Below are 20,696 nucleotides of genomic sequence, written 5' to 3' on the forward strand. Positions count from 1 at the left end.
ACTTGAACTTGGAGCTCCAACACACATATAAAACTGTTAGTTGATTTCACATTAACATCCTTCACCCACTTCTCACCAAGTTCTGTATGACCTGTTTGAGTGAAACGTTTTTTATTTAGTGAATTTCCCACCATCCTTTGAGATTATTGGAGTAACTCTGAGCTGTTAACCCAAATTGCTTCTCTAAGAGTGTTCCTGACTCCAAGTACACAGACACAGAACATAATAAACGTAGTTGTCTGTATTCAAACCTGGAAGCCATAAATACTGTTTTGTACTCAGTAATGTACTGCAGACACAGGTGTCCTGAGAACTTGATGAGGCCTTCCTGGTGGGCAAGTGCCATAAACAGAGTGCACTGAAGTGATGAGTGGGCCCTGTTTGTCTCTGGCACTGCCTCTTCCACCCTTGCCGTGGTACCTTGATCTCACTTTCATCTGTCTCCAAGTTAATTTTTTAAAATCTGCTAAAACAATGACCTTCATATATGATTTTCTCCATGTAATGAAGATCAGCTATTCTTCAGCAGCTCCTCGTACCCCTTTCTTTTTCTTCCTCCTATGCTGAACCCACCGATGCCTCTGCTGCACTCTCCAGGACTCAGGCCTTCTTCCCTTCATGCTCTCATCTCTGCTTGGTTCGAGCCCATCACCTGCCATGAAGTCTCCTAACCTTTGCAGGATGAGCTTTCCAAAAGGGCAACTAGGTAATTGGGAGGATTTGCAGTCCTCCAGCTCTTCATTTGTTCATTCATTCATTCACTCATTCATCCATTAAACATTTATTAAGCACTTGCTGTGCCAAACACTCTCAGTTGCTGGGGATACCAGGGCACTTGGTCCCTCCCCTCACGGAGCTCAGCGCTTGGTGCATGGTTAAGGAGAATGCTAATCAGACTTCCTTGAGCAGGTGATATTTGAACTGGATTTTGAAGGGTGAATGGAAGTTAGTTATCTAAAGTATGGTGAAGAGAATGGACATTTTGTGTGGAGAGGTGGACATATTTAAAAGTACAATAGCTTGATCAAAGAATGGCAAGTGAACAAAGGACTCACAGGTGGGAATATCAGGTAGGCAGGGGCCATATCATGATGGGTCTGGTGTGCTTAGCCTGAGGACTTGAACTTTATTCTTAAAGAAATTAGGATCCACTGGAATATTTGTAAACAAGATAACTGCATAACATTTATGTGGAATAAGATCAATCACGCAGCAGAATGGAAGATAATATTTTGGATGAGATTCGTGGTGGGAGGGAGATGATTTAGGAGGCTACAGCAGGTAACCCAGACAACAAGTGATAGGTGCCTAAATAGTGGGCATAGGAGTAGAGAGAGGGAGATGGATTTGGTAAGTGTTAAAGCGGTGAATTGCATAGCAGATGAGGAATAAAATTAAGATAACTTCCAGGAGACCATATATGCAGGGCAGAACATAAGGAGAGGAGCTGTTCTCTAGGAAATGCCTAAGTGTTGGATATTTTTAGCATGAAAACATCTGAAAGGCAATGTCCATTAGAAAGTTGGACACAACAGTCAGGAGCTCAGAGGAGCCATGGGTGAGGCCACGAGGGTGAATCAGGCATGCCTAGCAGGAATATCAAGAGAGATGGACAGAGAATTGATGATGAGGCCCGGGGGTAAAGGGACATTTGAAGAGTGAAGAGTGAGGGAGGCTCACAAAGAAAAAGAAGAGCAGAGCAGTGGGAAGAAGTCTAGCAGAGTTGTGTCAACACAGAGAAGGCTTGGGAGATGATAACGTTGCTTCAGAGGAATTTGGACATGATGGAAAAGGGGCATAATGGGAAATACAGAGGGGGAAGAAAGGAAGAGCCAGCACCTACACAAGTCCTAATTGCTAGACCTGGGTTGGGAAGTGGAAGCAGTGCTATAGCTAGGTAGGGCTTTTTTAGTTTTTTTGTTTTTCAATATATATTTTGACTTTTTAAAACTAAGTAAAAAAGAAATCAAGGGGAAACAAATATTCCACAGCAGGGGGACTGTTTGACCATGTCACATAAATCTTGGCCGTACATTTCTTATGGCCATGTTACAAGAAATCACAAAAATCAGGACTGAAAAGGAACATCAGCTTATGAACATGCAGCCACTGGCAAAGTTAGCAAGAGTAGGTCCAGTGCAGTGGTGAGGGTCTCAGCAGGATGCGGGGCTTCAGGGAGTAGTTACTCTACCACTTGTTGTGAAGGTGGACACTTCCTTCAGAAAACTCAACTGTAACATGTAGAAGCAAGCAGAGAAAGCATTAGAGAGCAGTATAGGATTATGAAAAAGTTGCAGGCAAGGGTTGTTTTTTTTTCAGTGGGTGTTTTGCGTTGACTTTTTGTTGTTGTTATTCTTGGTTTCAAAAGTTGCTTATAAAATTTTTCTCACTTGAATATCAGAACAAATTATATGGGCTTTTTCTGGTGTTTTATTTTTAATATAATATTTTTAATCCATCTGGAATTTATTTTGGTGTCAGAAGTGATGGCCCCATACCAATTTTTCCCATGACTTAGCTAGCTGTGTCAATACTTGCATCCACTGCTTCAAAGTATCACTTTATAATATATAAAAACCCATGAATATTTGCATCTCCTCTTAAAATTCACCCTGGTTAATTCATACTATCTATTCATATACTAGTTCTAAACTGTTTCAATTACCATAGCATTATAATACACTCAATATCTCCCAGAGCTATCCCATTTTATTTTTTCACAATGTTCCCAATACTGTCTATGCAAACATCCCTGTTCATTATTTTACCTGTTTATATTTCTTGAAGAACTTTAGTATCACTTTTCAGCTTTTCTTTTCTTTCTTTGAAAGACAGGGTCTCGCCCTGTTGCCCAGGCTGGAGTGCAGTGGCACAATCCCGGCTCACTGCAACCTCCGCCTCCTCATCTAAAGCAATCCTCCCACCTCATCCTCCTGGGTAGCTGAGACTACAGGCTCGTACCACCATGCCCAGCTAATTTTTGTATTTTTTGTAGAGACAGGGTATGTTGCCTAGGCTGGTCTCAAACTCCTGGGCTCAAATAATCCTCCCGCCTCAGCCTCCCAAAGTGCTGGGATTACAGAGATTAGCTGCCATGCCTGGCTGACCTGTCAGCTTTTTTTTCTTAAATCCATTTGGGATTACTAACAGAATTTACATTAGAATTCTAAATTATTTTGTGGAAAAAAAATTTGATATGTCCCTGAATTCAAGTTTGCCCAATCAAGAGTTTGGCACATCCTACCACTCATTCATTCATCATTATTTGTTTTTTCTTAAGTCAATTATCATAGTGGTCTTAGTTTTCTCATTAATTTATTTCTAAATAGTTTATGCTTTTGTTGTCATTATAAATGGTATCTTTTCTCTTTTGGATTTTTAACAAGGTTTACTGATAACATAATCCTAATCTCTGGCTTCTCTTGAACAATCAGGAGATCTGGCAACATGGAGCCCTCATTCCAACATGGCAACTATGAGCTGTCCCTTTCCATAGGACACACGCTTGCTAGTTTACCACAGTTGACGGGCTGACTCCACACATGGCTATTACTTGCATGCCCTGCGGGCTGATGAGTTATTTAGGGTTGGGTGAGTCATAGGGAAGTTGACATCACTGCTTATTGCTGCTGCTCATGACTCTGTAGCATCACCAACTCTGGTCCTTGCCTGGCTGACTTCTCTGCATGAGTGTTCCTGCCTGGCCTGTGGGACTTACTGGATCCTTCTAGCCCTGTCTGCTCTTCTGCAACATGCCCTTTGGCTCTCTGACCAGAAGCAAATGCCAGCTCTGCTTGCCTCGCCACACCCTCCACAGCCTTGCCCTTCCTGACAGAGTCATCCCTGCCCCTTGTCTGAGCATGAGGCCTAATGGAACTCTATGTTTTCCTCCCATCCACAGTTTTAGTTACATATCTGTAGATGTTTCCTCTGAAGGTCTGCCAGTTAGGAGGGCAGGGTCTAAAACTTGAGGATATTTTCTTACTTCTTCCTCTCCGTGGTATCACTTACCCCAAAATCTCTGCTGCCCCATTTTTAATAAGGCCGTGTCAATTACAAACAAGGAGAAAAGAACTTCTAAGCCACCACTCAAATTTTGACTTATTATGACCACAAGGACTGCAACTAACTTCAAGATTCTTAAGGAAGGATATTATAATTTATTAAGACACTTTTATCACATATATTTCTGTGATTTCTATTACTGTCAAATTCTCTGAATGCACTGCATTTGCATTTGCAGACTCAGGGGAGCTCACTCATTTGCTTGTTCTCAGCATATTTCTTCTAACGTTCTCTAAGTATAGCCTTCCCATGGGTCCATTTCTTTTTGTCTTTAACTTGTTAGATAATGCCACAATATTTCTTTTTTCTTAAAAAAAAAATCCTAAACCACAAATCTTCTTTCAACATTCTATTTCAACACTGAGAATGAATAATATGCTTATGATGTCTCAAGTTTATTACCAGCGAATAATTCTGGTTGACTAAAGATGTCTAAATATATTGTTCCTATTAAGTGTATACATGTGAAAGAAACAGGCTATAATTAATCTTCTTTCCAGAGATTTTATATTTGTGTTTTGTTTGAATTCTTTCACTGTTGAACACTAAATTATTATTTACCACAGATGTGTTTTCTCTCTGGGATTTAGTTCGTTTGCCTTTCTCTTTCAAGAGTAAAGGAAAATATGTTGTCCTTCCATCCACCACCACTCCATGATGTGTGTCCATTCCATTGACAGTTATTCAGTTTGGGTTCGTCACCTTATTTGTGGCCTCTTTTCCACTGGCCCCTCTGTTGGCTCTCGTGAACAATATATTGGAAATAAGAGTGGACGCATGGAAACTGACCACCCAGTTTAGACGCCTGGTACCAGAGAAAGCCCAAGACATTGGAGCATGGCAGCCCATCATGCAAGGAATAGCAATTCTGGCTGTGGTGACCAATGTGAGTAGACCTAAGCTTTACAGAGTAAAGACCTTGAAGATGCATTAGATTTGCTACCTAAGGAATCAAATGTTTAGTGTTTTTTAAAATGAGAGGAAGATGCTAAGTCTGTCATCCACATAAATGATATAGTTGCTATATATAACCACTTGTTAAATGTATTTTCATTTTGTATATAATTATTTTTAACTGTCAAGACCTCCTATACAGGTACTGTTATTGCTCATTTGCTAAAGTTTTTATTCAGTATGAAATATGGTAATGATAAGAAGTACTAACACTTTTAATCCTCACATAACTATAAAAGGAGTTATCAGAAAATGTTTTTTTTATAATGTGGGTAGAAATCTGTTCATTTAGAGTTTGAGGGCCCTAAAATAAGATCATTCTACCATATTTTACTACTACATATTCCAAAGCATCACCCTAAAATATTGACTCTGATGGTGAAGTATAAACACTTTGTGCACTCCTAATTACCTTCCTTGACTCCAGAGCAGCAGCTCTTAAAGGAGGAAGGTGGGTGGGTTTCATCACCCTTCCCACCCCACCCTTAGGTCTTTGCTCACCATGCTTTGGTCATTGGCTGAAGCAGCCTCATGCCCTGTATGTATCCCAGCTGTGAGGGGACAGAACTCAGTTGTTTACAGCCTGTATTCATTGATTATGGGCCATCTGAACAGTGTCATTTTTATGTACAGGCACACAGGAAGTTCTCAGGCAATGCAATTTTCATGCCAGCCCATTAGAGGACCACCTTCCCAAGAAGTATCCCAAAACTAGGGCCATTTCCTCCCATATTTCACTGACAGTCTCACTCCCAGGTGAACCTCCCTAACAAAGTGATTCCCCAGTTTTGTTTTCTTAAGCCACATCTTCCCTGAGTCCCCAGCCAAAACAACAGAAGTTGGCAGTGCCTGTAGTTTAGGCTCTGGATGAGGGAAGTTACTGAGCACTGTAGGCTCTAGAGTCAGGTAGACCCGAACTCCACTTCCCAGCACTGTAGCTCTGAGCTGCATGATCTTGAGCCAGGCCTTACCACTCCAGAGCCCTATTTTATTATTTGTAAAATTATTAATTCCCTACCACATATCATAAGAATAGTACATACCAACCACAGTGTTAGGGAATTCATTGAGTTAATGCATGAAGCCTCGTTTCTATTGAATGTTAGCTGCTGTTATTTTATCATCTTCATTACTCATCATTGTTATTAACAGTAACGCTGTGAGGACTCTGACAGGTACCCCAATTGGAGGCACAGGAATTCCAAAAGCAACCACTGTCTGGACAATGGTTACAGTTTTATACAATAAAACAAGTTATCTGGAACCTAGCTGTCATCCCTACCCCAGAACCGTACATTTATCTGAATTGCATGCTATCTGTACTATTTGGAGAAAGTTGCAAATCGCACACAAAAACCAACTACTGGGGTATGTCAGTTTCCTTTCACCCAGGTACCCCACACCTTCAACATCTACTGTGCTGCAAAATGAAGACTGCTGTTTAGAAAAATGGCAGTGAGGCCTTTCAAGTTCCTCAGTCATAAAACAATGAACATGACAGCACGTTCAATATGCTCTAGTACACTAAGCTGGACAAGAACATGGACTTGTGTGCTTTAAGAAAATTTTCAGCAACAAAGTTTGAAACTAAAAGGGTTTTTATTTTACCTTCAACTAACCAGAAAATTCAGTTGACTCAAACTCTCCCTATTCCTCAAGCATTCTAGATTGATTGTATTAGGTACCTTTTCCCAGCATCCATGCCATGGCTCTACTCCATGAGCACAGATGGAGGATTGGCTGTTTCCAAGGCGACTCAGTGTGTGTATGTGTACAGACATTCACTCTGGCTAATTGGTGCTATTGGTTCTTATCCAATAATGGCTTTTTCTTATCACTTAACCTAGGAAAACTGCTTATTAGATTTGTGACATTGATTAAACTATGGGCAATCCCTTTTTCCATATTAGGATTTGTTATACTTCCAAGATGGCAGTTATACATCCACATACATAGACATCTATGTTTATATGTGTGCTTGTGCAAGCATTAAATGTGTGTCTTATTCCCTCAAACACCCAGTGTGTATCTCACAACCTACTGTCTACAAAAAGAGAATAACCACCAGGATGAGAGTGGGCATCAAGCAGGAATTTGGTATAAAATCATTCATTTTAAAGCTGCTGGTTCAATAAATAAGCTGAATTGACATTGTTGTATCATGCCAGAGCATCTGTTATTGAAGACCAATTTTAATTTATTTTTATATAAATGGAAAACTGTGTGCAGAACAGCATGGGAAATGAAACACACTGCATTTATTTGTGCTCTTGCAGCATGTCTCTCAGAGCAGCTCAATTCAGGAAGAAAAGTATCTTGTCAGAAGACAATAGAATTATCTTCCTTGTTGGAATTTTTTGTAGCTTCTGATGCACATCTGCCAGTGATTCTATAAAAAGATATAGTTGAGTTAAATGATAATAGCAAAATTTAATCTATTGAAATCTGAGGGAAAAAAGGTAAAATATTCGTGTGGCTCCCCAGTACTGACAGGCAGAAACACACTCATATGTATATGTACATTTTTCACATCAGAGGAAATGACAAAGCTGGTTCTAGTGAGGGAAATTTTGTAATAGAAAAGCCCCCTAATTGTTTTTTCTTGCTTTGCCTGAGATTTGGTTTGTGGTCTCACTATGCCTAAACCATATGTTCAGATGAATACTATTAAAAATCATGTTAAGCCAAAAACATGTCTACTTTTCTGCTTCATCAATGACAATCATTTAGCTGTTTTATTCACATAGAATTTGGTTTAAAGTAAAAATCCTTTCTCCTTCCTTCCAACCAGTTTTACACACTGGAGAGTTTAAAGCCCAAATTAAAGAATTTTAGAGAAAATTCATATAATTCAGAATAGCTTTACCTCCTAATAGATGTCTCTCTGATACACAGGTTTATGATTGGCCCATATTTACTCCTTTTATCTAGGAACATACTAAATTTTCTGTATGTTGTTGTTCAACTTATAATTTTCATAACTTCATCCACTTAATCTTTTTGAAGTTTAGAGACTTAGATACTAGATCAGACTAAACAGACATTATTGTTTGACTATGAATGGGACAACCCCAATATAATTCTACTACCCAAATTTTGTTAAAATTAATAAATGCTCACACTCTATAATGAAGCAACAAACATAACCATGTACTGAGAGTTTAAAACAAATCAGGTCATGGTTTGACTTGTGTAAACAAGTCATAATACTATACAGGAAAAAAGTGAACTTAGAGGTCATTATTTAAATTTAGATCAAGGAAAACATGCAGTTTACCTTCTGTGTTTATGAAAAGAGCTAAATCAATTATATAAAGCTCAATTATTTTCATAATGTTGACTCTGATTACATGTGCAAGTCTTCTAGGCTGAGATCAGTGGCTCGTACCTATAATCCCAGCACTTGGAGAGGCTGAGAGGATTGCTTGAGGCCAGGAGTTCCAGACTAGGCTAGACAACATAGTAAGACCCTATCTCTACAAAAAATGTTTAAAGATTAGCCAGGCATGGTGGAGTGTACCTGTAATTCTAGCTACTCAGGAGGATCACTTGAACCAAGGAGTTCGAGGTTACAGTGAGCTGTGATCATGCCAGTGCACTCCAGCCTGGGCAACAGAGCAAGATCTTATCTCACTATCTGCATATATTTTGCAGTTAAGAAAAAATTAAGATTTCTGAATCTTTAAAAAAAATTGACACGATGAAAATAGTAATTCTGGCATATTTGTTAACCTGACCTATACAAACTATAACTTCGGCCAGGTGCAGTGGCTCACGCCTGTAATCCCAGCACTTTGGGAGGCTGAGGTGGGCAGATCACCTGAGACCAGGAGTTCGAGACCAGGAGTTCAAGACCAGCCTGGCCAACATGACAAAACCCTGTCTCTACTAAAAGTACAAAAATTAGCCAGGCGTGGTGGCACGTGCCTGTAATCCCAGCTACTCAGGAGGCTGAGGCAGGAGAATTTTTTGAACCCAAGAGGTGGAGGTTGCAGTGAGCCGAGATCGTGCCATGCAGCCTGGGCAGCAAGAGCGAGACTCCGTCTCAAAAACAAAAAACTATAACTTCATTTTCGCTTTGTTTTTCTCCCAAAATAGGCCATGATCATAGCTTTCACGTCGGACATGATCCCCCGCCTAGTGTACTACTGGTCCTTCTCCGTCCCTCCCTACGGGGACCACACTTCCTACACCATGGAAGGGTACATCAACAACACTCTCTCCATCTTCAAAGTCGCAGACTTCAAAAACAAAAGCAAGGGAAACCCGTACTCTGACCTGGGTAACCATACCACATGCAGGCAAGTTCTGCTTTACTTGTTTAAAAATGCACTTCATCTTTAAAAGGGTTTTTCTTGTGACTTAATTCTGTTTGGTGTCATTTTTAAAATTTTTATTTCTTTATAACTTCAGGATCAATCAGGTGCTTTGGTGTCATTTAAATCAAGCTGCTAGAGACATTTTTTCCCCATAGCTTTCTCTTGAGTGAAACTCAGAAAATGTATATATATGTATATTTATTAAAAAGTTAATGAAGACTAGGGGTAAAACTTTCAGACCAGGGGTAAAACTTTCAGACCAAACCATAAAGATTTAAAGTTGAGAGTTTCAAACGATTACAGGGAGATTGATTCCAAAGAAAAGTCATAGAAATAGAGAAACTTCAAGAGGTCCAAGAACCAAGATAATTCAGTTGTTAATACTATTGTGTTATTCAAGCACAATCTGAAGATATTGAATGATGGCAAACTAGCACCTCACATAACAGGGACATACAAAGATAAGAGATGTGAAATCTCAGCTGAACAGTATTATCTAAAAATATTCCAAAGTTCTCTGCATCGATTTTAATGGCTGGTGAGTTCAACAGTGGACAGTATGTACCAGGTAAATTACCAATTGATAAAGTTTGTGAACTGTAGGTCATCAACCTTTTTTCCTGGACCATAGAGTTTTACCTAAAATAGGAGGCTTTAAAGTTTATTTAGTCCAACTCCTCAAAGCCTTCACTAACTCAGATTCTCAATGATGCAACCAGGAAACCAGAAATAAGCCCAAAATAAATGTTTGTGTTACACCTAGTGGAGCCTCTTTACAATTCTGCATCAAATCTGCTTATTCTTACTTTCCACAATTCTAATCAGAAATTAAACTCTTCTAGGTTTAATAGCTTACAGGCATAAAATTAGAGATGTCCTACCTGAGGAAGATACACTAACAGCAGTTAACACTTGATATCTGACAACAAAGAATTAGGTAAAAAATTATAACAAGCAGATAGCACTCTGTATGAGGAGAGAGAGTCCCATAGCTGAGTGAACCCTGATGATACCATTATATAAATAAATTTATAAATATGATCCCCAAAACAGGAATTGTTTTGAGAAAACAGGGATAAATGTTGGGAGAACAAATTTAAAACTTTAGTTCTTTTATAAAGATGGATTCTTTTCTACAAAGATGGACCATGTTATTACCATCATTCTCTGATTAAATATTAAATGAGGCACTACTGTAGTTATTTTGGGGCTTTGTTACCAAATTGAGCTTTAAGAGAAAATGTATGTGATGTCCAGTTTAAAAGAGCATTGAATCAAATATGACTTTTTTTTTTTTTTTTGAGACAGCGTCCTGCTCTGTTGCCCAGACAGGAGTGCAGTGACACCATATCAGCTCCCTGCAACCTTCACCTCTCGGGTTCAAGCAATTCTCATGCCTCAGCCACCAAATAGCTGCGATTACAAGCACGTGCTACCACACCTGGCTAATTTTTGTATTTTTAGTAGAGACGGGGTTTTACCATAGTGGCCAGGCTGGTGTCGCACTCCTGGCCTCAAGTGATCCACATGCCTCAGCCTCCCAAAGTGCTAGGATTACAGGCATGAGCCACTGCACCCGGCATGACCTCTTTTTAAATGGGGCCTTTGTTTACAGTATTCAGTCAAAAAGATTTGTCTCCCAATATGTCTCCATTTTGTTTTCAGGTATCGTGATTTCCGATACCCACCTGGACACCCCCAGGAGTATAAACACAACATCTACTATTGGCATGTGATTGCAGCCAAGCTGGCTTTTATCATTGTCATGGAGGTAGGAAAAGTATGCTTTCAAACAGTTTATAAGGATGTGTATTTGCAGACCTTCCATTAAGTGTTGCCAACTCCATACTTAACATGTGTGATACTTTCTTCTTATCACTTGCTAATATTTTAGGAAATATGTTAATCAGTATTGACCTGAAAATACTCAACTTCATTAACGAGAGCATTATCTGCTTTTAAAGTTTAAAAGCATGTTATGCGCAAAGGGGATTCAATTTCATTCATTACTAACTTTTTAAAATGTAGGGCACTGGGCAGCATGTTGGGCTATGAAAGGGCTTATGCAAGATGGGTACGATGATGTGATCTCTGCCTGTGAGAAACTTTTATTGCTGGGAGAGTTTGAAATTGACCAGCTCTGAAAAATTACTAAGGCAACTATAAATTTGTAATTGATCTAGCCAACTGTGCTTCCTATGCAGAGTGAGTTAACTACTGCCAAATTACAAAGTATCAGAGTTTAATTGCTTAATTGGTATGGTAGATAGGATTGTATTAAGCTGCAAGAAACAGAAAATGCAGTCTATGGTGGCTTAAATAAGGTTGATTCCCCTCCCCACAACCTATATGATAGAGTTCATGAAAGTCTGTGGTTGCTCCTGAATCAATCAATACCAGTTCACTGATGGAAGCAGTCTATCCAATTCTTGGGTTTGCTCTCATATATGTGTCCCCTTTATGGCTGCTGAAATTCCAGTTAAAAAATTACATGCAAAGCAGGAAGAAGGGCGATGCTAACCACATCCAGTCCTTTTTGTCAGGAAAGAATGCTTTGCCAGAAGCCCCTACAGTGGACTTCCACCTACATCTCATTGACCAGAACTATAGCATGTGGTTTTCCTAGCAGCAAGAGGGGCTGAGGCAGGTGGATTTCATTTGCTCTGAATAAAACCAATCAGCAGAGAAGAAGTGGGGTAGACTACCTGGATTTTTGGTACTTATACTAGTTCTTTTTTTTTTTTTTAAATAGCTACCAAACATTAAACAGGGAAGACAAGTAACTCACGGTTAGTATCTGACTCATGTCAGTATCTGACATATCAGCAAGAGTCACAGGTTTCTATTTAAACATGTAGTTGATGAAGTGATTGGCCTTCTCCTTTTGATATTGTGGTAGATTATATGTTGTCCTTACATATGCAGTGGACCATCCCCACTGCAAAACTTCTAGAGCCAGCTAGATAATTCCTTTGCATTGCTGAGCCCACTGGAAGGGAAGAGAATCTACAGAGAGAGGGAAAACTAGGTGATGGGTTTTTTTTTTTTTTTTTTTTTTTTTTTTAAAGACAGAGTCTCACTCTGTTGCCCAGGCTGGAGTATGATGCCATGATCTTAGCTCACTGCAACCTCTGCCTCCAGGTTCAGCCAATTCTCCTGCCTCAGCCTCCCAAGTACCTGGGACTACAGGTGCACACTACCACACCTGGCTAATTTTATATTTTTAGTAGAGATGGGGTTTCACCATATTGGCCAGGCTGGTCTCAAACTCCTGACCTCAAGTGATCTGCCCTCCTCGGCCTCCCAAAGTGCTAGGATTATAGGCATGAGCCACTGCGCCCGGCCTAGGTGATGGGCTTTAATAGGGCAGTGAGCAATAAGCACTCTTGTAGTGCTGGAGGTCTCAAAGAGCAAGCTGGTACCCATCAGTGCCTCTATCTTGGAGCTCAAGGAGACCATGCCTTGGGTCAGAAGGGAGGTGGAAAAACTGAGCTTGAGATTCCTGGATAAGCCAGAGACCCAAAACAGGGCTGCATTTGCCTCAGTAGAAAGAAGTGTGTATCTTCTCTGGAGAAAAATGTCCCCAGGTTTTTCTCAGATCAAGCTAATCAAATATGAGCACACAACCAAAGATGGTCAATAACAAGAGGTGATTTAAAAAAAAAACAAAAAAACGTGTGAGGTTCAGCAGGAAACAACTGATTTGGACCCTCAGTAACCTCAAGGGTTTGTTTGAACTGTCAGATAAGGAATATAAATTAACTGTATGTGAAAACATTTAAATAATTATGGGTAGAATTTAAAAAGCAAGAAACTAAAAATTATAAGGCAATTTTGAAAAAACTAAATGGAACTTCTAGAAATTAAAATAAAATCATTGGTGAAATGGAAAAAAACATGGATTAAACAGAAGTTTATGCAAATCTGAAGAGAGAATTTGTGAATTGGAAGATAGGTCTGAAAAAATTACTCCTGATATATCACAGGGAGATAAGAAAATAGAAAATATGAAAGAGATGTTAAGTGATATGGAAGAATGAGAAATACTAACTTAAAGAAGCTGAACATGGATAAAAGAAATGAAAGAGTTCACAGATCAGAAAGCATGACATGCATCAAACAGAATAAAGAAATCCACTTACACATATTGCAAGGAAAATGCGGCACACCAAAAATAAGACCTTGAAAGTAACCGGAGGGAAAAAACTGATGACTAACAGAGAAAACTAAGGCGAGAATGGGAGTAAGCTTTTCAACAGTAACAACGGAAGCCAGAAGAGAGTAGTCTATCTCCAGAATGCTAAAGAAGGTAGCTATAAACCTTAAATTACAGCAGAAGTTTGAAATATTTCTACAATGAAAACACCAGACCATGTGGTTTTTATTGGAGTGATACCAAGCTTTTTAAAACAGATCATTTCAATCCTATACAAATGCCTTCAGAGATGAGAAAGAGGAAATACTCTCCAACTCATTTGGTGAGGCTAAGAGTAGCCTAAATCCTAAAATCAGACAAGAAGAGAGAAAGGAAAATGAAGCCAACCCTATTCATTACATAGATGCAAAGATCTTTCTAAGATGTGTAAAGTGAGATGATGGACATGTTAATTTGTTCCACTATAGAGTAAGTCCTCACTTAACATCCTTATTAGGCTCTTGGAAACCATGACTTTAAGACAACAACTTCTAACAAAACCAGTGTTTTTTCTAATCAATGCTGTAACGAAACAGCATTGAAGGAAATGACGTTATTCAAGGACCTGGAGTTGCAGTTTCCAGGAACCTGTCGATGATGTTGAGGGCTCACTACATACATGTGTCTTACAACATCATGTTGTATACCTTTACGCAAAATTTTTAAAAATGTACAAATCTGAATCTAGCAATATATTTCAAAAAGATAACATCATGCCACCAGGCTTTAAGCTGGAAATGCAAGGGTGGCATAACACAGAAATTCCACATATCTATAAATATTCCCTACCTCAGAAATAGATGAAAGAACTCTTTCCTACAGCATCAACCTTTGTCGCTTTACTATATAATTTCCATTATCACTAAACACACTAATATCTCTCACATCTCAAAATTCTCTCCATCCTTACCTCACCAGTCCTGCTTCACTTCTCTTTTCCTCTTTGTGGCCAGCGCCGTTGAATGAGTTGCCAGTACATGCTGTCCTCGATTCCTCTATCTTTCTATCATGCTTTCACCCCCTCCACTTCACTGAAGCTGCTCTTGCCAAAGTTAGCAGCAGCCACCACTTCCCCAACCCTCCCCTCACCTGACTTAGCAACATTTGACTTAGCAAAAATCTGAGTCAAATTTTTGCTGAAAATCTGACTTCAGATTTTCCTCATCACTTGCCCCTGGAAACTCCTCCTCACTGGGCTCCTAGGAAAGTACGCTTTCCTCCTGCGTCCCTGGCCATTCCACCTCAGGTTCTATGCCAGTCACTTATTCTCTTAGTGATCCTGGGACTCATCCCTTGGTTGTCATCTTTTCTCTCTCCTTGGTCTGTTGATGATCTCCTGGAGTCTGCTGGCTCTAAATACCATCTGTATGCTAAAAGGACCTTAAAATGGCTGTTTGCAGAGCACCCCTCTCCTGAACTCCACCCATGAATCCAACGGCCTACCTGACCTTTCTGCTTGGATCCCTAATAGATGTCTCACATCTGCTGCCCCACATGCCTATATTTTCCTCCATTCACTCCAAATGTTCTCCTCCCAACCCAGCCCAAAATCTCTCCCATCCACAGTATTTCCCTCTTGATTATGGCAACTCCATCTCAACACTGCTCAGGCCAGAATCCTTGGAACCCTAATGCTATATCCAATCTGGTTGGCTTTTCCTTTATCAGTGAGCACTTCAGACCAATTGTGCTGCTACCACCAGGTCAGAGCCACTATCATTTTTTGCCTGGATTAGGGCCAGAGTCTCCTAGCTGGGCTTGCCCTTCCTCTCTCACTCAGAGTCAGAGCCAGAGTCCTCACAGTGGCACACAAGGCCTCATGGATCCAGCCACGCCCCAGTGCCCCTCAGACATCACTTCTCTTCTCGTCACCTGCTCCGCACCATCCTTGCCTTTTCTCGAATGCATTCTGAGGCTCCTCCAAACCAGCTCTGCATTGGCTATTCCCTTTACCTAGAATGTCTTTTCTTCTGATATCTGTAGGGCTTGTTCCCTCACCTCCTTAAAGTGTTTGCTCACTTAGGCATATCCAGACTAATCTACAGAAGAATCTCTTCAAAGTACTCATCACTTTTTAACACCATGAATAATTTGTTTTTAATTATGCTTATATTATCTCTCTCCCCTTGCTAGGTCAGAGATTTTTGATTGATAAATTAAAAAATGAAAAGGTGTTTAACCTCATTGGTAATCAGGAAAATGCAGAGTAAGACCAAAGGGAAAGTCCATTTCATAATCACTAAGTTGGTTTAAAAAAAAAAAAAAAAGCCTGATCCAGCCTGGGCAACATGGCAAAACCCAAAATTAGCCGGGCATGGTGGCAGGTACCTGTAATCCAGCTACTCAGGTGGCTGAGGCAGGAGAATCGCTTGAACCCGGAAGATGGAGGTTGCAGTGGGCCAAGATCGCACCACTGCATTCAAGCCTGAGTGACAGCAAGACTCTGCCTCAAAAAAAAAAAAAAAAAAAAAGGTTTGATGATACGAAGATGTAGAGCAACTGAAACTATTGCTGCTGTGGGAGTGTAAGTTGGTATACCTGCTTTGAAAAATGTTTTGGTATCATCTTATAAAATGGAACATTCACATGACATAGAGTCTCAGCAGTCCCACTCCTAGGTCCACACTCTTGAGAAACTTGCAGATAATGCTCTAGGATTCAAGCACAATAATGTTCACAACAGCATTTTTCCTAAAACAAAAACTGGAAACAACCTCAATGCCTGTTCATAGGGGAACAAATAAATTATAGTGTAGTCACACAGAAGAATATTATACAGCAGTGAAAATTAGTGGACTAGTTTTATAGAATAACAATCTTAGGAAATAGTTTTGAACAAAAGGTGGCCTGGCGTGGTGGCTCACACCTATAATCCTAGCGCTTTGGAAGGCCAAGTTGGGAGGATTGCTTGAGGACAGGAGTTTGAGACCAGCCTGGGCAACATAGCGAGACCCTGTTTCTACAAAGAAATTTTAAAAGTAGCCAGGCATGGTGGCATACTTCTGGATCACTTGAGCCCAGGAGTAGGAGGCTTCAGTGAGCTATGATCATGCCACTGCACTCCAGCCTGGGTGACAGAGTGAGAACCTGATCCAAAAGAAAGACAGCAATTTCCAAAAGACTGCATGCAGCATCATAAAGGTGAAGTCAAGGAAGACTATATTTTGGGGGTATATATACATATTTTGTCAAACTTTTTAAAAAATAAGTGAGAATGATACACATATACTTGTACAGATATGATAGCACTGACTTTTGGAGAAGTGCAAGGCCATTAGAAAAAGAGACACAAAATACAACAGCATTGTCAGCATCCTAGTTTTTAAGTTTAATGGAGGTTTTTTGAGGTATTCATTTTTTCTTTATCCTTTATAACCATTATATGTGTGTATATATACTTTTCTACATATCACATAGTATTATTTAAATGTGTAAAGTAACAGTAACTGCTAGAGCCACACTGTTGATTAGACACAATGGCATTAGCGGTTGGTTGTGTGTGTAAAATGTCCACTGCCTTGTCCAGATAAACTGCCATAATGACAAGCAAGAATGAAAGGAACTCGGTGTTCTCCTCCATTTCTTTGTGAGTGACATTTTTCTTCTTCTCTTCCCCAGCACGTCATCTACTCTGTGAAATTTTTCATTTCATATGCAATTCCCGATGTATCAAAACGCACAAAGAGCAAGATCCAGAGAGAAAAATACCTAACCCAAAAGCTTCTTCATGAGAATCACCTCAAAGATATGACGAAAAATATGGGGGTGATAGCTGAGCGGATGATAGAAGCAGTAGATAACAATTTACGGCCAAAATCAGAATAAGAGCTTTATGTTCTGAGAAGCACTTTAAGGAATTTAGCTTTGTCAAAATATATTAGGAATCACTAATGAGAATGTGTAAGTTAAATCACTTTGGCAAATATGAGTCTCAACTATTGCCATTTCCTCATGTATTATTTTTCAGTTTCAGCTAGCGATGCAGAAACTGGAAAATGTAAAACTTAGATCATGAAGGGCATAAAACTTATCACCCGGAAAACCTCAATGTTACCTTTTTCTGATAAATTGGAATTTTACAGAAAAAGTCCCTCAGTGTGCTTAAAAACCACCCCTTCTAAAGTAGAATGGATTCTTTTTTTTCTGTTTGATTATTTTCATTTCTGTCTATTCTCAGGCGCATGATCTCCTTTATTTTTAAGCCATGTTTCATTTCTTCACTTGGCTAGATCTGTTCCAGGGTCATCTTTTCCTTACAGTACCATCATTATAGATTTAATTTAATAGCTTTCATGTGATTAAAAATAGCTAACTAGACTCAAGGATTCACAATATTTAGGTGTATTTTCAATACCTCCAGAAAGGAAACCTCAGTTAATCAGAGGAAATAGTTTCAGTCTTCATTTGAGCATGTCTTTCCATCTCAAAAAAATACTCTTAGTAGGTTGGAGTGAAGATAGCAAGGTTTTGAAGCATATTTGTCCTAATCCACAGTGACACTTTTTATCTTCCAGGAGCACTCCTAGGAGGTTCCGTGCCTAATCAATGTTGACTGCTTTGCAGATCTCAAGGGAATAAAATGACAAAAGCAGGGAAAGTTACAGATTCAAACAGCATTTTAACTCATGTTGATCTGGATAATTAATCTTTTCTAAAGATGTGTAGTTTCTTGGAAAACAGTGATATCACATGATTAAAATTACATTTTTATCAACATAATTGTCTGGAAAAGATAAGCCCCTCAATTTTCTACCAGTTGACTTTTATTCATTAGATACAGAAGGTGCAGTATTACACATCACCAGCTGCCTTTGTGAATGGCTCACTACACAGCCATTGGGGTACAACTGTGTGCATGGGCAGAAACAGCAAGTGCCCTCATTGTGGTCATTGGGTGGGGAGTGCCTTTTGTCAAGGAGTCTGCAGGAATTGGCTTATTTCTGTATGCCAAAGTGATCAACACACCAAAGTCTCTGCCATAAAGAATGTGGCTTCCTTGCATCCTCCATCCTGTTACTCTGGGCCCAGTAATTTGATGTAACTGTCTGATTGTACTAGAGACAGGAGTATACCCAGCTTATTCATAATCAAGTAAAGAGACTCAGATTAGATTTGATTTTTTAGCCTCCTCTAGAGCCAATCAGGCAGTTAAGAGTAATAAAGGAAAAGGGTTTGGTCACAAACCCTACCATTATCTGGAGATTACTTCCTGCTGCACTCCTGTCTTGCCATGCACGTCTTGCCCCCTCACTTTTGCTCAGCCTAGCAGTCTACTTCACTTTATTGCCTTGTAAGTGTCAGGCCTCCTGGGCGCTCTGGAAAAGACAGGGAGCCAGGCCCTCTCACCCCTACTGGTAACAGGTCATTGCTGGGTGCACAAGAGGGAGGTGATTTGCATCATGGTCATGCTGCATGGGCTTCACTGGGATGCTGTTAAACACCAGAGGAGCCAACCTATCAGAATCCCAGCAGCAAAGGAAAACTCAGATTTTAGAGGCTTTTTACAATAAAGTAGCGTAACTCTAGGTCATGATTGATTTCAAATGCCTGCCATGAATGATTTGTAAGTAATTATGTAGGATCCATCAAAGCAGTATTGTAGGCTTTTGAATTGTCCCAGTGGATCCGGGACCCCATTTCACTGTCTCTCTTGATCGTGTTAATGATGCAATCAGAGTTCAAGACAGGCCCCATGAAGTCTGACTGCACTGGGATGGAGAAATGAATTTCTTCCCACTGAAGGAAACTCTTTCTCATTCGCAGCCAAGACGGGAGTGCCACTGTTCCTCTCTTCACTCCTGAGATACTGCTTCTGGAAGCGGGTGTCACTTCCTCTCTAGTACCTCTTCTCTTCTCTGAAGTGTGTGACTATCTCCTAGTGTTTAAATTTGGCAGTTACTCGCCATGTATGTCAGCATAGAAAAGGAAATGTTTTTACCTTATCTCCTGTATGTATGATAGAACTTAAAAGAAATGTGCATTTGTTTTCATAGCCCCAGCAGAGAAAATCCTCTTCATAGATTAAATGTGCTGCTGTGGACAGGAGGGGAAAAAAAACCCTCTACATATTGAAAGGCACCAAATGTAATATCTGACACTGTTAAGATGCCCAAAAGAGCAAAGTTGTAGTGGAGATGCAGGGTCATTTCCCCATGCCATCCACAGTGTTTGTTAGTGAGTCCACGGCTGACTTGCAGTGATAAAGAAAAGCATGGAGCTGTGTCTGCAGACAATGGTGGCTGCATCTGTAAGTGGCTTCAGAGGCAGCAGCCCTGGGGAAATTGATGGGTGTGGCAGTGGACCTGTGAAGAGGGAGAATCTAGCCTTCAGCCTGTCCAGTGTTAACCACTAGAGAAACTGAGCTTTATATCCTTTTTTAATGCCTGTGAATTTTAGCATATTGAAACATTAGAGCAAATACTCAGGGGATTTTTCATTAAACATCCCTCAGATAATTTAGCTATATATCATTAGAAAGGGAAAGCTATCATTTTTATTTTAAAACTAAACAAGGCCATCTTATAAACTGTCACCAAAGTCTTCCCTTTTTTATTGCATGTGTGCCTTGAATTTCATAAAACATTAATTCACAATGGGGGTCAGAATGTACTCTTGTTGAAACACTTCTTGTACCATTTTATGTTCATATTATGTTTGAGAGGGTAAAAATGTATGAGCAGCTTAACTGAAGTAGAACTATTCATGATGCTTTTCACACATTGTGGCATAAGATGTAAAGTTTGTAATTAATGTTAATTTCTGTGCATTTTAATATTCTTTTATAATTATTAATGTTAATTTCTGTGCATTTTAATATTCTTTTATAATTATGAGCATTTTAATAAATTCATTTTTACAAACAATAGTATGGTCTATTCTATATTGTCTTAACGTTTTTAAGGAAGAGAACATATATCTGCTATTTACTAGTGGCCAGTTGTGTATCACTTAGATAAATGTGTGCTTTTGTGTAGATTTTTCACAGCCTTCACTTCAGAGATTTGCTATGGATTTTTAAAAATTATATTCAGTGTATTAAGGTTACAGATCAGAAAAGCTAGTTATTAAACTCAGCCCAAATCCTATTCTTTTCATCAATCTAGCAAATTTTACCACTTTTTACCAGACTTTTGAATAATGTTTGATTTCACCTACTAGTTTAA

The 20,696-nt window shown here is 39.5% G+C and overlaps 1 protein-coding gene and 1 long non-coding RNA gene across 7 annotated transcripts in view; one reads left to right on the plus strand and one right to left on the minus strand.

Moving 5' to 3' along the window:
* Positions 1-20,696, plus strand: part of ANO6 (anoctamin 6) — a 224,310-nt gene that overhangs the window by 195,859 nt on the left and 7,755 nt on the right. For 5 of the 6 annotated variants that reach the window (NM_001204803.2, NM_001025356.3, XM_005268707.5 and 2 more), the window contains 4 exons: positions 4,746-4,951; positions 9,118-9,320; positions 11,004-11,109; positions 17,152-20,396. In NM_001204803.2, the coding sequence (NP_001191732.1) occupies positions 4,746-4,951; positions 9,118-9,320; positions 11,004-11,109; positions 17,152-17,358 (722 nt within the window). In that variant the 3' untranslated portion in view covers positions 17,359-20,396. Of the gene's footprint in view, positions 1-4,745; positions 4,952-9,117; positions 9,321-11,003; positions 11,110-17,151; positions 20,397-20,696 lie in introns of those variants that run through there. The other variant, NM_001142679.2, reaches the window with a different exon arrangement.
* LOC105369743 (uncharacterized) overlaps positions 1-20,696 on the minus strand; it is a 178,153-nt gene that overhangs the window by 21,262 nt on the left and 136,195 nt on the right. The gene's annotated exons all lie outside the window — the stretch shown is intronic.

The sequence above is a fragment of the Homo sapiens genome, chromosome 12 (assembly GCF_000001405.40).
Source record: "Homo sapiens chromosome 12, GRCh38.p14 Primary Assembly".
Classification (NCBI taxonomy): domain Eukaryota; kingdom Metazoa; phylum Chordata; class Mammalia; order Primates; family Hominidae; genus Homo; species Homo sapiens.